This window comes from Homo sapiens, chromosome 10 (genome assembly GCF_000001405.40).
Source record: "Homo sapiens chromosome 10, GRCh38.p14 Primary Assembly".
Lineage (NCBI taxonomy): Eukaryota > Metazoa > Chordata > Mammalia > Primates > Hominidae > Homo > Homo sapiens.
In genome coordinates, this window is record NC_000010.11 from 107,870,369 (window position 1) to 107,885,154 (window position 14,786).

Sequence of the window (14,786 nt, forward strand, 5' to 3'; positions counted from 1 at the left end):
TGCCTAACTTATGAACCTTACCTGCCTGACATTTGTGGCTTCATAGACTATGAATATTATTTAACTCTTAATATCTACACCTTTAACTATCATTGTAATTAACAACTATAGTAGAGCTTTGAGAATAGCCAAACATACCTTCTTGTCAAATCCACTCATCCTCCAAAGATTCAAAAATACTAGAGCTATTAAAGGTCTGTCCAATTGCTCATGTAGAATCCACATGGGAATTCCATTTCATTTCCCCCCAACACTGGAAACTTACCAGTTGTTGAACAAGACTGAAATCTTGCTTAAGATTGGTGATTACAATCTCAGTTCCATTTAAATAACGTCACAATTTTATACTCTGAATCAATCTAATAAAAGATGGCTGATAATTGTTGGAAGTAAGAATTCTTAGTGCTACACACTAATTCTTGGTCTTGTACATAACACTTTAAGAGAAAGTTAAAGTGGTGAGACAAAGTAATAGAATCTACTAATCTGGATTTATTAATATTTTATGATACTAGCCATTTGGCCATTTTTCCAAATACTTTAAAAATTATTTATACAGAAGTAAGGAAGGGGGCCGGGTGCAGTGGCTCACACCTGTAATCCCAGCACTCTGGGAGGCCGAGGCCAGTAGATCACCTGAGGTCAGGAATTCAAGAACAGCCTGACCAACATGGTGAAACAACATCTCTTCTAAAAATACAAAATTTAGCTGGGCGTGGTGGCATGCACCTGTAATCCCAGCTCCTCAAGAGGCTGAGGCAGAAGAATCACTTGAACCCCGGAGGTGGAGGCTGCAATGAGCTGAGATTGTGCCACTGCACTCCAGCCTGGGTGACAGAGCAAGACTCTGTCTCAAAAAACAAACAAACAAAAAAAAAAACGGGCTGGGCACGGTGGCTCATGCCTGTAATCCCAGCACTTTGGGAGGCCAAGTTGGGCAGATCACAAGGTCAGGAGATCAAAACCATCCTGGCTAACATGGTGAAACCCCGTCTCTACTAAAATATACCAAAAATTTGGGCATGGTGGTGGGCAGGCGCTCCCAGCCACTCCGTAGGCTGAGGCAGGAGAATGGCGTGAACCCGGGAGGTGGAGCTTGCAGTGAGCCCAGATCGCGCCACTGCACTCCAACCTGGGGGACAGAGCAAGACTCCGTCTCAAAAAAAAAAAAAAAAAAAAAAAAAAAAAAAAATTCCTGAATCATCTCTTTGAGATCTCGAGTATTACAATTTTATTGTGATTTTCAGTCATCATTGGTTTGTCTCACCCAGATTGGTGGGGACCAGTTTGCTCCAGGTTTGCTGCAGCTATAGAATCCCGTGACTCCTGACAAAATCGTGGTCACAGATGAGATTTCTTCCCACATCAGGTTCCCAGATCTCTGCCTACAAAGTGTGGTCAAAGCAAGAGTAGTAGGAGTTTGTCTTTTTCCCTTTCTACATTTGAATTAGCAGGAAAAAAACGTCAACTAGTTCTTGTTCACACACATACATCAATGTGGTTTTTTTTTTTTTTTTGGCGGGGGTATGAGTACTCATGTTTTCTGACCCCTTCCCTCTCAGATGGTCATTTTTTTTTCCTTTTTCTATTTCATGTGTCATAAAGAGGAGAATCAGAGGGTGAGAATCAGAGGGTAAGAACACAGGCATAAGGCTTAGATAAGCTTATTATTTGAGCTGGCCTCACAGCCAGGTAAGTCCACAGTTCTCACTAGAGTGATGTCTGTTTAGACAAACTTTGCTGTAGGGTCTCTGAGACCACAAAAAAAGTGTGAGGTTCTCCTTTTATCTTGTTTTATGTCCTGAGAATCTGGCTATTTGACCAGTGAGAACACTGTCTTTGGTCTCTGCCAGCTGGCAGGCAAGTGTGCCGGCTTGCGTCGGACAGCCAGTTGAATAGGCTAGAAGCTGCAGACACAAAGTCACAACCAGCAGTATCTGTTTAATCCTGATAGTTCTCAAGTGAGTTTGTCTTAATGAGAGGTTCCAATCCATAAGGGCCTTTGTTGTCTCAACCTTCAATTTCTTGGTAAGCACTGAGAAAGTCCAGTCTCAGTAGTGCCTTATTGGTGTCACCAATGACACATAATGGTTCAGTGACTGGAGGCACCCCAATTTTCTGCGGGAGACCAGAGACACCGTTTTCACAAGTACTGTTCTTACCACCTCTGGCAATGAAACTCTTTGCTTTCTTAGTTTATCTCTGACAGTTAACTTTTTAGATCATGGGGACTGCATTTTCGGTATCCACTTTAGGAACACCATTTCCATCATGGTATTCTAAACCTGAAAAGTCTTTTCATGAAAAGTCTTACGGCTTTGAGTTGCTTCTAGAATAAATAAATTGGTTAAATTTGAAAAAAGTTTGAGAGAGCTCTCATCCTAAACAACTGTCTTATTGGTGCATATGGAAAAATCAAACTGAAAAGAAGACACAAAGAACCGTAACAGATTGCCTTGGAGACTTCCTTAGCAATATTAAAAAGGAGAAATCAGATTTAGAACAAAGTTAAAATTCTTTAAACTGACCATAAATTCCCTTGTCTGCCCTCATTACTTCCCTATGTCCATGTCCCCGACCCTCTAAAAGCTCATTTGATCTTTGGGTCTCTAATTAAAACCCATCTTCTGCAAATTCATCTCAATTTCCTCAGTAAACTCCTTTAGCTCAGGAGAGAAACATTTGTAAGAATTTATTTGAATTATGACTCTTGGCTTTGGAGTACCCATTTGTTACTCATTCTCTTTCTCCAAAGGAGAGCTGAGATCTTGGCTTGGCCTTCCGCCTGCCAGGGGTATGTAGGTTGGGAGCTCCCAAGAATATGGTCAGAAAGAAATGTTGGTTGCACCCCATTTGCACGTAGTATACCAACTGTTGCCAACTCACAGAGACACTGTCTTTCTTCTGTATGTGTTTGGAGTGACTAACTCTTGGAAGAAATGTATCATTTTACTTTTGCATTGAAGATGGGTGCGTCTGTGGTTCAGCACCCATAAAAGGCTTATTAGTTTTAGAATTGAGTCACCTGTTAGGTATAACTTTGTTTTAGAACTTTGGTTTATATTCAGAGTGTAACAGAATTTAGGCTTTCTCTCCAAAGCTAAAATGGAACTATATGCATAGAAAGGAAAAAAAACAGTTTACTATAACATTTCAAAGAGGAACAGTTCTAAATATAGAATAAAGGAATCTTTTGATTTCCATCTTAGTGGGAAATCTTCTCCCTGATGTAAAGGAGCAAGTTGAAGATAATGCAGGATGGATGAGTCAAACCCTTGATATTATTTAGGTTGCAACCCAATTCTTTGAAGAATTAAAAACAACTGTCCTTGTTTTACAAATTGAGTCTTTACAAAGATAGAAGTGTGCCTCTAGAAGAAATTCAAACTCACCTATCCTTCTTACTAATTCCCAAACCTCATCTATGTATCTCAAGATGCTTGTAGATACTTTAGAAAATCAAGACATTGAAAATGGAACTGTCCTGCAATTAAGAAGGAAAAGTTTAAATAGTAATTACCCTAGACATCTGATAATAGGCAAATATGCTTCCAAAAACTGCTTGGTAAATGTGCATTCTTCCTCTGTGCCCTTGAGATGTCTTACCCAAGAACCATTACTTTTGAAATGCAAATTTAAGAAATAATTCTCAGATAAAAACAAAAGAAAGAAAATAAAAAAACAAAGGAAGGAAGAAGGAAGGAGGGAAGGAGAAGACTATTTGGAAACCAGCAAATGGAAACTCTTAAAAGCTTTAACCATCTGAGCAGGTAACCTTACTTTGTTCAATATGCCATATTCACTAAGTTTTGAATTACTATAGCTGACATGGGGCTAAAGTTTAGAGTGAAAGCGGAGTTATCTGTTCTGTCTGTGTTTATGGATGGCTACATATATACATATGTTATATAATATGATATTTTTCTACCTCCAAATGACCTCTACTTAATTGACTTAAGGAAAAATAAGGGTTTAAAAAATTGTTAGCTTAGTAAACTTTGGTCAATAAGGATGTCATTGGCTTAATTAAAACAACATGTCTTTAGAGTTGTTAGCATTAAATATAATGTAGATACACAACTTTTATTTTCATTAGATGTTTAAAATCCTAAGATAATTGGTTCAACCTAAGAACAAATGCACATGAGAAAGTGCAATGTCCATTACTTTATGTATATAAAGCACAGCCAAAAAACAAAAGCCCAATTATTTAACTTTTTACATTCTTGATTTTGTGATACTTGCCTAAATGCAGGTGCTATAAAAATAGTCGACAGGGAAATACTTGATATATTAGACAAAGCTAGTCATCTCATTTAAATTTCATAAGTAATCTAAGCATAATTGCAAGGAACAAGTGAATGAAATAGATATAAGTAGAATAAATGTTTATAAGCTTTTAGACAATAATCATGTTATGTCTACTTAAAATGGTTTCCCAATCTCTTTGGTAACTATACCCTTAGGTGATGGATATTAATTAAATGTGTATGTCATTTCCAAATAAAATAAAACACTGAAATATTAATTGCTGAATACAAGTTTCAGTTTATTTTGGCTTGTTAGTTTATAAAAAGAAAAAAATAGTTGAGTCTCTCAGTAAACATGCTCTGTTTCATATTAAAAAATTGTTCTGAGGAAGCATGTGTTCCTAGAAATTATAAAATGTGTATTCAGACCATTTAAAATTTCTTATTCCTAGGTTTTCACAGGAAAATGGGTTACTAAGACTTAACATTCTAATATGTAAATCAAACTCCTAGTAATAAGGAAAACAAGTGTATACAAAATGTACAAGGAAAGTAAGATGTTGTAAGGTATGAGGATGAGATTTTTTGCTGAGAAAAAAATTTCTGTCTAGGTAAGAGATTTTGAAAGGTTGTTTAAGAATGAATAAGGAAGAATGAATAAAAACTGAATGGATATAGAAAGTCTGAAGGGGTGACAAAGGGAAAGAGAAATTTGAGTGGTCAAACTGACTAAAATGGAATGAATTTATTATGTTTTTAAAAAATAGCAATTAAGGCTACTTTTATTACTTTGATATTAAATCAAAGTATAGAGATGTAAAACTAGAATTTGTCATCCCTTTTAAAAGCAAGATGTTCTTGGAATATTGGTAAAATATAGCAAGTAAAATTTCTTTACCTTTTGATTGTTCTTAAGGAGGGTGGGGAAGATTGTGTTTTGTCAAAATAACTGTTTCATGTTTTAATTATTATATCTTTGATTACTTGACAATCAAATATTCTCAATATTAAAAGAGCTAAGGTTTTTTTCTACAACTATGTTAATTTTCTCCATTTGCCTTTGAAATCTTGTGTCATTTTGATTTAATTTCATTTTATCTACAACTACGTTAATTTTCTGTATTTGCCTTTGAAATCTTGTGTCTCTTTGATTTTATTTCAAAGTGTTCTGTGGTCTTTTCATCAAATACTTTAAACCTTTTGATATTTTTGAGAAACTCCCAGTAATTCACTTTTAAATTAAGTCTTTTTTGACCTTGAATTAGTTTGAGATTTTCTAAACAGGCTTCTGAGATTTGTCAAGATAATTTTTTTCTTTTCTTGTAAAAGAGACATGTTAGGCTAATTAGGTTTATTTGATATGTTAAATTATATGGGAGGCATTGTCAAGTAAGAAATGATGTTTAACTGATATTATATTTAGAAAACACCATCCTCTCAGCCCTAAGGCTTAAGCTGGTAAGCAACTTCAGCAAAGTCTCAGGATATAAAATCAATGTGCGAAAATCACAAGCATTCATTTACACCAACAATAGACAAGCTGAGAACCCAACCATGCATGACCTCCCATTCACAGTTGCTACAAAGAGAATAAAATACCCAGGAATATGGCTAACGAGGGAAGTAAAGGACTTCTTCAGAGAGAACTACAAACCACTGCTCAAGGAAATCAGAGAGGACACAAATAGAAAAACATTCCATCCTCATGGATAGAAAGAATCAATACTGCGAAAATGGCCATATTGGCCAAAGTAATTTACAGATTCAATGCTACTCCCATTAAACTACCATTGACATTCTTCAAAGAATTAGAAAAAACTATTTTAAAATTCATATGGAACCAAAAAGGAGCCTGTATAGCCAAGACAATCCTAAGCAAAAAGAACAAAGCTGGAGGCATCAGCTACCTGACTTCAAACTATACTACAAGGCTACAGTAACCAAAACAGCATAGTACTGGTACAGAAACAGACACATAGACCAATGGAACAGGATAGAGAACTCAGAAATAGGAACACACATCCACAACCATCTGATCTTCAACAAACCAGACAAAAACAAGCAATGGAGAAAGGATTCCCTATTTAATACATGGAACTGGGAGAAGTGACTGGCCATGTGAAGAAAATTGAAACTGGACCCCTTCCTTATACTGCATAAAAAATTAACTCAAGATGGATTAAAGACTTAGATGTAAAACCCCAAACTAAAAACTCTAGAAGAAAATCTAGGAAATACCATTCAGCACATAGGCACAAACCAAGATTTCATGACAAAAACATCAAAAGCAATTGCAGCAAAAGAAAAAATTGACAAATGGGATCTAATTAAACTAAAGAGCTTCTTCACAGCAAAATAAACTGTCATCATAGAGAACAGAAAACCTACAGAATGGGAGAATATTTTTCCAATCTATCCATCTGACAAAGGTCTAATATCCAGAATCTACAAGAAACTTAAACAAATTTACAAAAAAAAACTAGCAACCCCATTAAAAAGTGGGCAAAGGACATGAACAGACATTTCTCAAAAGACGACATTTATGCCACCAACAAACATGAAAAAAAGCTTGACATGATGGATCATTAGAAATGCAAATCAAAACCACAATGAGATACCATCTCACACCAGTTAGAATGGTGATTGTTGTTTGTTGTTTTTTTTTTTTTTTTTTGAGACAGACTCTTGCTCTGCTACCAGGTTGGAGTGTAGTGGTGCAGTCTCAGCTCACTGCGACCCTCCACCTCCCAGGTTCAAGCAATTCTCCTGCCTCAGCCTCCCAAGTAGCTTGGACTACTTGGAGCTCACCACCATGCGCTCAGCTAATTTTTGTATTTTTAGTAGAGATGGGGTTTCACCATGTTGGCCGGGATGGTCTCTATCTCTTCACCTCGTGATCCACCTGCCTCCGCCTCCCAAAGTGCTGGGATTACAAACAGGCGTGAGCCACCATGCCGGGCCGGTGATTATTAAAAAGTCAAGAAACAACAGATGCTGGAGAGTCTGTGGAAAAACAGGAATGCTTTTACACTGTGGCTGGGAATGTAAATTAGTTCAACCATTGTGGAAGACAGTGTGGCGATTCCTCAAAGACCTAGGAACCAGAAATACCATTTGACCTATCAATCTCATTACTGGGTGTATATATACCCAAAGAAATACAAATAATTCTATTATAAAGATACATGCACATGTGTGTTCATTGTGGAATTATTCACAACAGCAAAGACATGGAATCAATGCCCATCAATGATAAGACTGGATAAAGAAAATGTGGTACATATACACCATGGAATACTGTGCAGCCATGAAAAAGAATGAGGTTATATCTTTGCAGGGACATGGATATAGCTGGAAGCCATTATTCTCAGCAAACTAATGCAGGAACAGAAAACCAAACACATGTTCTCATTCATAACTGGGAGCTGAACAGTGAGAACCCATGGTCACCGGGAGGAGAACAACACACACTGGGGCCTATCGGTGGGAGGGGGTAGGCGGATGGAGAACATCAGGAAACATAGGTAATGCATGCTGGGCTTAATAACTAGGTGATGGGTTGATAGGTACAGGAAACCACCTATGGCACACATTTACCTATGTAACAAACCTACACATCCTGCACATGTACCCCAGAATTTAAAGTAATAGAAAATTAAAACTGGAAAAAAATGATATTTAACCTTGAGTTATATGTATATACATTATTAATACGTGTTCCAGACATTTTGTAAAATTCCTAGAAAACTGATAAGTCCTGGTAAATCAGTCATAATCCCAGTTATTTTTAAATATTATGTTTCAGAGATAACCAAATTTTATTGTCAATTACATTTTAATAAACTCTCATCAGATCTTTAATCATGTCTATTTTTAAGTCTTTTGTCATCTACAGACATTAAGTATGTAAAATCCAAAAGTGCTTTATCTTCAAGAAAATTCATGGAAATGACTGACAAGTACAGACTCCTGATAACTTTAAGATCATACCATTGGACTGGGTATGACCATCCAGTGCTCTAGTGAAGATATGGACAGGTTAATGAAGCTGTTAACCCATCAAGTAGAGCAAGAGTTACATGGGTCTCAATGGATGGATGGTGATAATTGTTTAATGACTGTTTTTTTTGAAACATTGCTTGTTCTTTAAATGTTTATTTTTCCAGATTTAAGAAAACCCTCTTTTTCTTTTAAGCTATCTATACCATATAGCAATTTGGTAAAGTACAATTTTGTGTATAAAAATGCAAACATTTACTTTTCCCCCAACTTGATCTCTCCAGAATTTGGACACTCTTCATGAATATTCCTTTTTTTCTTCCCCCAATGGCAATATAGACATTTGCATAAGCTTAATAAAAAAAAAAAAACTTGTTCTTCTTGTAACAAAACACAATTGGAAACAGTGGTTATGCTACCAAGGCTTTGACTGTGATGTCTTACTTTCTGATATGAACAAACAACTTTAAGGAACTAGGGTTGACTTCATGGGGCCAATAAAGCCTATGGGAAATAAATGGTGTGGTACCTGGAATACATGGTTCACATGGTTGCTTGAGAGACGGGAAAGGAATGTCACTTTCTCGCAGGCCCAGGAACCTCAAGATACTTGAGGAACTACAAAGAGAGGAATTCACCCCTATCTATAGGTATTACAGGCACGGTTTGATGGTGAGTCCTTGGTTTGGCTTTTTAGTTCTGAGAAGCTTTTAAAAGCCCAGTCTGAAATTTCTTACTAAAAGTTCTAGCAAAGCAGACTTAGAGCCTAGAAAGAGGCAGAACAAGGTGACTGAATAGAACCCTGCAGTGATCATACCCTTGCAGAAGCACCAAAGTTAACAACTATCCACACAAGAAAGCATCTTCATAGGAACTAAAAAATCAGGTGAACAATCACAGAACTTGGATTTAACGTCATAGCAAGGAAAGAGGTGCTGAAGAGGGTAGGAAAGACAGTCTTTAATTGTCAACACCACTCTTTCCCCATCCCCTAGCAGTGCAGCATGGCATGGAGAGAGAATCTGTGCACTTGGGGGAGGGAGAGCAAAGTGTCTATGGGATTTTGCATTGGAACTCAATGCTACCCTGTCACAGTGGAAAACATCACAGGGCAGAATTGGGCTGCAGCCATGGAGGGAATATGTAGGCCAGCACTAACCAGAGAGGAATCATCCATCCCAGTGATCAAAACCTGAGTTTTAGCATGCCCCACTAGCGTGGACTAAAGTGCTCTAAGGTCTTAAATAGGCCTGAAAAACAGTGCAGACCACAAGGCCAGAAATTCCTGGGCAAGTTTTGGTGCTGTGCTGTACTCAGAGCCAGTTGACCTGGGGTACATAAGACCCAGTGAAACAACTACTGAGGTGACTAAGGAAGAGTTGTAATAGCCCTCCCTCCAATACCAGGTAACATAGCTCACAGCTCCAGGAGGGAGTCCTTCTGCTTGAGGAAAGGAGAGGAAGGAGTAAAGAGGACTTATTCCTGCAACTTGGATACCAGCTCAGCCACAGTCAAAGCACCAAGCAGGGTTCTAAAGTTGCCATTCCAGGCCACAGCTCCTGGACAACATTTCTGGACCCATCTTGGCCAAAAGAGAACCCACTGCCCTGAAGATAAGGACACAGTCCTGCCAGAATTTACTACCCGCTGACTAAAGAGCCCTTAGGCATTAAATAAATGGCAGTAATAGACAAGCAGCAGTTGCCACAGGCCTAGGGCAAGTCCCAGCATTGTGCTGGCGTCAGGTGTGACCTAGCACATTCCCAGGTGTGGTGGCCCTGGGGAGAGACTCCTGGCTTGATGAAAGGAGAGTATGAAAGACATTGTCTTGCAACTTGGGTACCAGCTGAGCCACAGTAAAATAAAGCAACAAGCAGACTCCTAAAGTCCCAAGTTTCAGGCCTTAGCTCATTGGAGGGCATTTCTTGACCTACCCTGAGCCAGAAGGGAACTCATGCCCTGAATGGGGTGAACCAGGCCTAGAAGGACTTACACTTGCTGATTAAGGGGTGCTTGGGCCTTGAAAAAAAAAAAAACCCAGCAGTACTCTGATTGTAGTGGCTCTGGGCCTTGAGCAGTGGTAATCATGAGCAGTGACTTCTGCTTGAGGAAGGGAGAGGGAAAAATAAAGAGGACTTTGTCTTGCAACCTACCAGCTCTGCCTCAGTAAAATAAAGCACACAACAGGTTCCTAAAGCCCCCGATCCTGGCCCTAAGCTCCTGGATGCCATTTCTAGACCTACCCTGGGCCAGAAGGGAACTGGCTGCACTAAAAAGAAAGACCCAGTGCTGGCAAGATACATTATTTCCTGTCTACAGAGTCCTTGGGTCTTGGAGTAACACAAGTGGCAGCCAAGAAGTAAGCATGCCAGGCCTGGGGCAAGGACCAGTACTGTGCCAACTTCAGGTGTTACCCAGCACAGTCCCAGTAAGTAGTGGCCACAGGAATGCTTGTGTCACCCTTCCCTCAACTCCAGGCAACTCAGCACAGAAAAGAGAGACTCTGTTTGGGTGGAAAATAAGGGAGAAGAACAAGAGAGAGACTCTTCCTGGAAATCCAGGGAATTCTCCACAATCTTACCCAAGGCCACTAAGGCAATAATTCTACAAGTCTGTAAAAGTTACAGCATTATGGGGCCTGCAGTGCCCTCGAATGCACAAATGGGTGCAGTGACCACAGATTTAGATCACAACACTCAATTCCCTTTAATACTTGGAAAGCCTACTCAAGAAGGATGGGTATAAATAAGCCCAGACTGCAAAGACCACAATAAATACATGATTTGCAGTCCCAGATATCAGTGAACATACACAAACATCAAGACCATACAGGAAAACAAGACCTCACTAAATGAACTAAATGAGACACTGATGATCAATTCCAGAGTAACAGAAGTACATGAGTTTTCAGACAGATAATTTAAAGTAGCTTTATTGAGGAATTCCAATAAAATCCAAGATAACACAGAAGGAATTCAGAATCATGAGATAAAGAGTGAAATAATAATAATTAAGCAGAAAATCTGGAGCTGAAAAATTCAATTGACAAACTGAAGAATACATCAGTCTCTCAACAGCAGAACTGAACGAGTGGAATAGTGAGCTTGAAGACAAGCTATTTGAAAGTAGAAAGTCAGAATAGATAAAAGAAAAAATAAAAATTAATAAACCATGTGTATAAGATCTAGAGAATAGCCTCAAAAGGGCACATCTAAGAGTTATTGGCCTTAAAGAGCAGGTAAAGACTGAGGTAGAAATTTTATACAAAAGGATAATAACAGAACTTTCCAAACCTAGAGAAAGATATCAATATTCAAGTACAAAATAATTATGTAACATCATGGAGATTTAAGCCAAATAGACTACGTCAGGACATTTAATAATCAGACTATCAAGGTTAAAGAAAGAATCCTAAAAACAGCAAGAGAAAAGGAAAAAAACACATAAAGGAGCTCCAATATGTCTGGCAGCAGATTTTTCACTGGATATTTTACAGTCCAGGGGAAAGTAGCATGATATATTTAAAATGCTGAAGGAAAATATATTTATCCTTGAATATTATATACAGTGAAAATATCCTTCAAACATGAAAGATTTTCCCAAACAAAAGCTGAGGAATTTTGTCAATACCAGACCTATCCTACAAGAATATTAGAGGTAGTTAATCAGAAAGAAAAGGACATTAAAAACCAATAAGATGTCATCTGAAGGTACAAAACTCACAGGTAAAAGTACACATACAAATACAGAATATTTTAACACTGTAATTGTGGTTTGTAAACTACCCATATCTTGAGTAGCAAAAGAGGAGCCTATCAAAAATAAAAACTAAAAACTTTTTAGACATAGACTGTATAATAAAATATAAACAATAAAAAATTTAAAAAGTAGGGGTGGAGATAAAGTGTTGAGTTGTTTTAGTTTTCTTGTTTGTGTGTTTGTTTTGCAATTACATTTAAGTTGTCATCAGTTTAAAATAGGTTATAATGTGTTAATTGCAATTCTTATGGTAACCTTAAATGAAAAAACTAACAACAGATAAAAAAATATGAGGTAAGAAATTAAAGCATATCACTAGAGAAAATCACTTCCACAATAAGGAAAACACAAAGAATAGAAGGAAGAATGATAAGACCACAAAATAGCCAGGAAAGAAATAACAAAATGACAGTAGTTTACTTATCAATAGTAATATTGAATGTAAATGGCATAAACTCTCCAATCAAAAGACAGAGTGATTGGATTAAAAAACAAAACCCAGTGATCTCTTGCCAATAAGAAACACAATTCACCTATAAAGATACACATAGACTAAACATAAAGGGATGAAAAAAAAGATAATCCATGCACATGCAAACCAAAAAAGAGCAGAAGTAGTTATATCAGACAAAATAGATCTCAAGACAAAAACTGTAAAAACAGACAAAGATGGTAATTATTTAATGGTTAAAAAAATAAATTCAGCAAGAGGATATCACTATCGTAAATATATATGCATCCAACACTGGAGCACCCAGATATGAACAATAAATTTTATTGATACTAAAGAGAAATGAATCTGAACACATGGATAGTGGGAAATCTTAACACCACACTTCCATCACTAGACAGATCATCCAGACAGAAAATCAACAAAGATCCATCAGATCTCATCTGCACTAGAGACCAAATGAACCTAATCAGTATTTACAGACTATTTCATCCAGCGTCTGCAGAACACACATTCTTCTCAGCACAGGAATCATTTTCAAAGATAGACAATATGTTAGGCCACAGAACAAGTCTTAAAATATTCAAAAAATTGAAATAATATCAAATATATTTTCTGATCACAATGGAATGACTAGAAATCAGTAACAAGAGGAAATTTGGAAAGCATATGAACATATAGAAATTAACCCCCAATAATCCTGAATAACCAGTGGGTCAATGAAAAACTTAAGAAATTTTAAAAATTTATTGAAACAAATGAAAGTGGAAACACAAATAGCAAAACCTATGAGATACAGCAAAACAGTACTAAAGAGGGAAGTTTGTAGGAATAAGTGCCTACAACAAAAAGTAGAAAAACTTCAAATGAACAACATAATGATGGATCTTAAAGAACTATAAAATCAAAAGCACAACCCCAAATTAGTACAAAAAAGAAATAAATGTCATAGCATAAATAAAATTCAAATGGAAAAATACAAAAGATCAATTGAAAAATTGTTTTTTTGAAAAGATAAACAAAACTTAACCTTTATCAAGACTAACAAAAAAAGAAAATCCAAATAAAATCAAAAATGTAAAAAGACATTGCAAGTGATATCACAGAAACTCAAAGAATTATTAGAGATTATTATGAGCAACTATATGTCAGTAAACTTGAAAACCTAGAAGAGATAAATAAACTCCTAGACAGATACAGCCTACCAAGATTGAAACCCAAAATGTGAATGGACCAGGAACAAGAGATTGAAACCATAATAGTCTTCTAACAAAGGAAATAACTTTACCTGATGACTTCACTACTAAATTCTACAAAACATTTGAAGAACTAATGCCAATCCTACTCAAATTATTCCTAAAATTAGTTTGAGAATATTCCATCCCAGAAGAAGGGAATACTTCCAAACTCATTCTATGAGGCCAGTATTCCCCTTATACCAAACTCAGACAGACATACTAAAAAACAAGCAAACAAAAAACAACTATAGGCCAATATTGCTAATAAATATTGATGCAAAAATACTCAATATTAGCACACCACATTCACCAACATATTAAAAGATTATTTATCATGCCCAAGTAGGACTCATCCCAGGGATGCAAGGATGTTTTGACATATGCAAACCAATCAATATGATACATCATTTCAAAAGAATAAACGTAAAAGCCATATTATGCTGAAAAGGCATTTGATGAAATTCAGCATCACTTTACAACCAAAAAATCCCAGACAACTGGGTGATATGGTTAGATTGTGTCCCCACCCAAATCTGATTTTGAATTGTAATCCCCATAATTCCCACATGTTAAGGGAGAGAACACATGGAGATAATTTAATCATGGGGGTGGTTTCCCCCATGCTGTTCTTGTGATAGTGAGTTCTCATGAGATTTGATGGTCGTATAAGGGGCTCTTCCCACTTTGTCACTTTTCCTTCCTGCTGCCTTGTGAAGAAGGTTCCACTTCACCTTCTACCATGATTGTAAGTTTCCTGAGGCCTCCCCCAGCCATGCTAAATTGTGGGTCAATTGAACCTCTTTCCTTTATAAATTACCCAGTCTTGGACAGTTCTTTATAGTAGTGTGAAAATGGACTAATACACTGGTTATAGAAGAAACATTTCAACATAGTAAAAGCCATCTATGACGAAGCCACAGCTAGTATCATATTGAATGAAGAAAAATTGAAAGCCTTTCCTCTAATATCTGGAAGGAGAGAAGGATGCCCATTTTCACCAATGTTATTCAACATAGTATTGGAAGTCACAGCTAGAGCAATCAGACAAGAGAAATAAATAAATGGCTTTCAAATTAGGAAGGAAGAAGT

At 36.9% G+C, this 14,786-nt stretch overlaps 1 long non-coding RNA gene across 1 annotated transcript in view; it reads right to left on the reverse strand.

Moving 5' to 3' along the window:
- Positions 1-1,207: 1,207 nt before the first annotated feature.
- Positions 1,208-14,786, reverse strand: part of LINC01435 (long intergenic non-protein coding RNA 1435) — a 197,718-nt gene continuing 184,139 nt past the window's right edge. The window contains exon 5 of the long non-coding RNA NR_125760.1: positions 1,208-1,385. This is a non-coding gene — a long non-coding RNA (long intergenic non-protein coding RNA 1435). The remainder of the gene's footprint in view (positions 1,386-14,786) is intronic.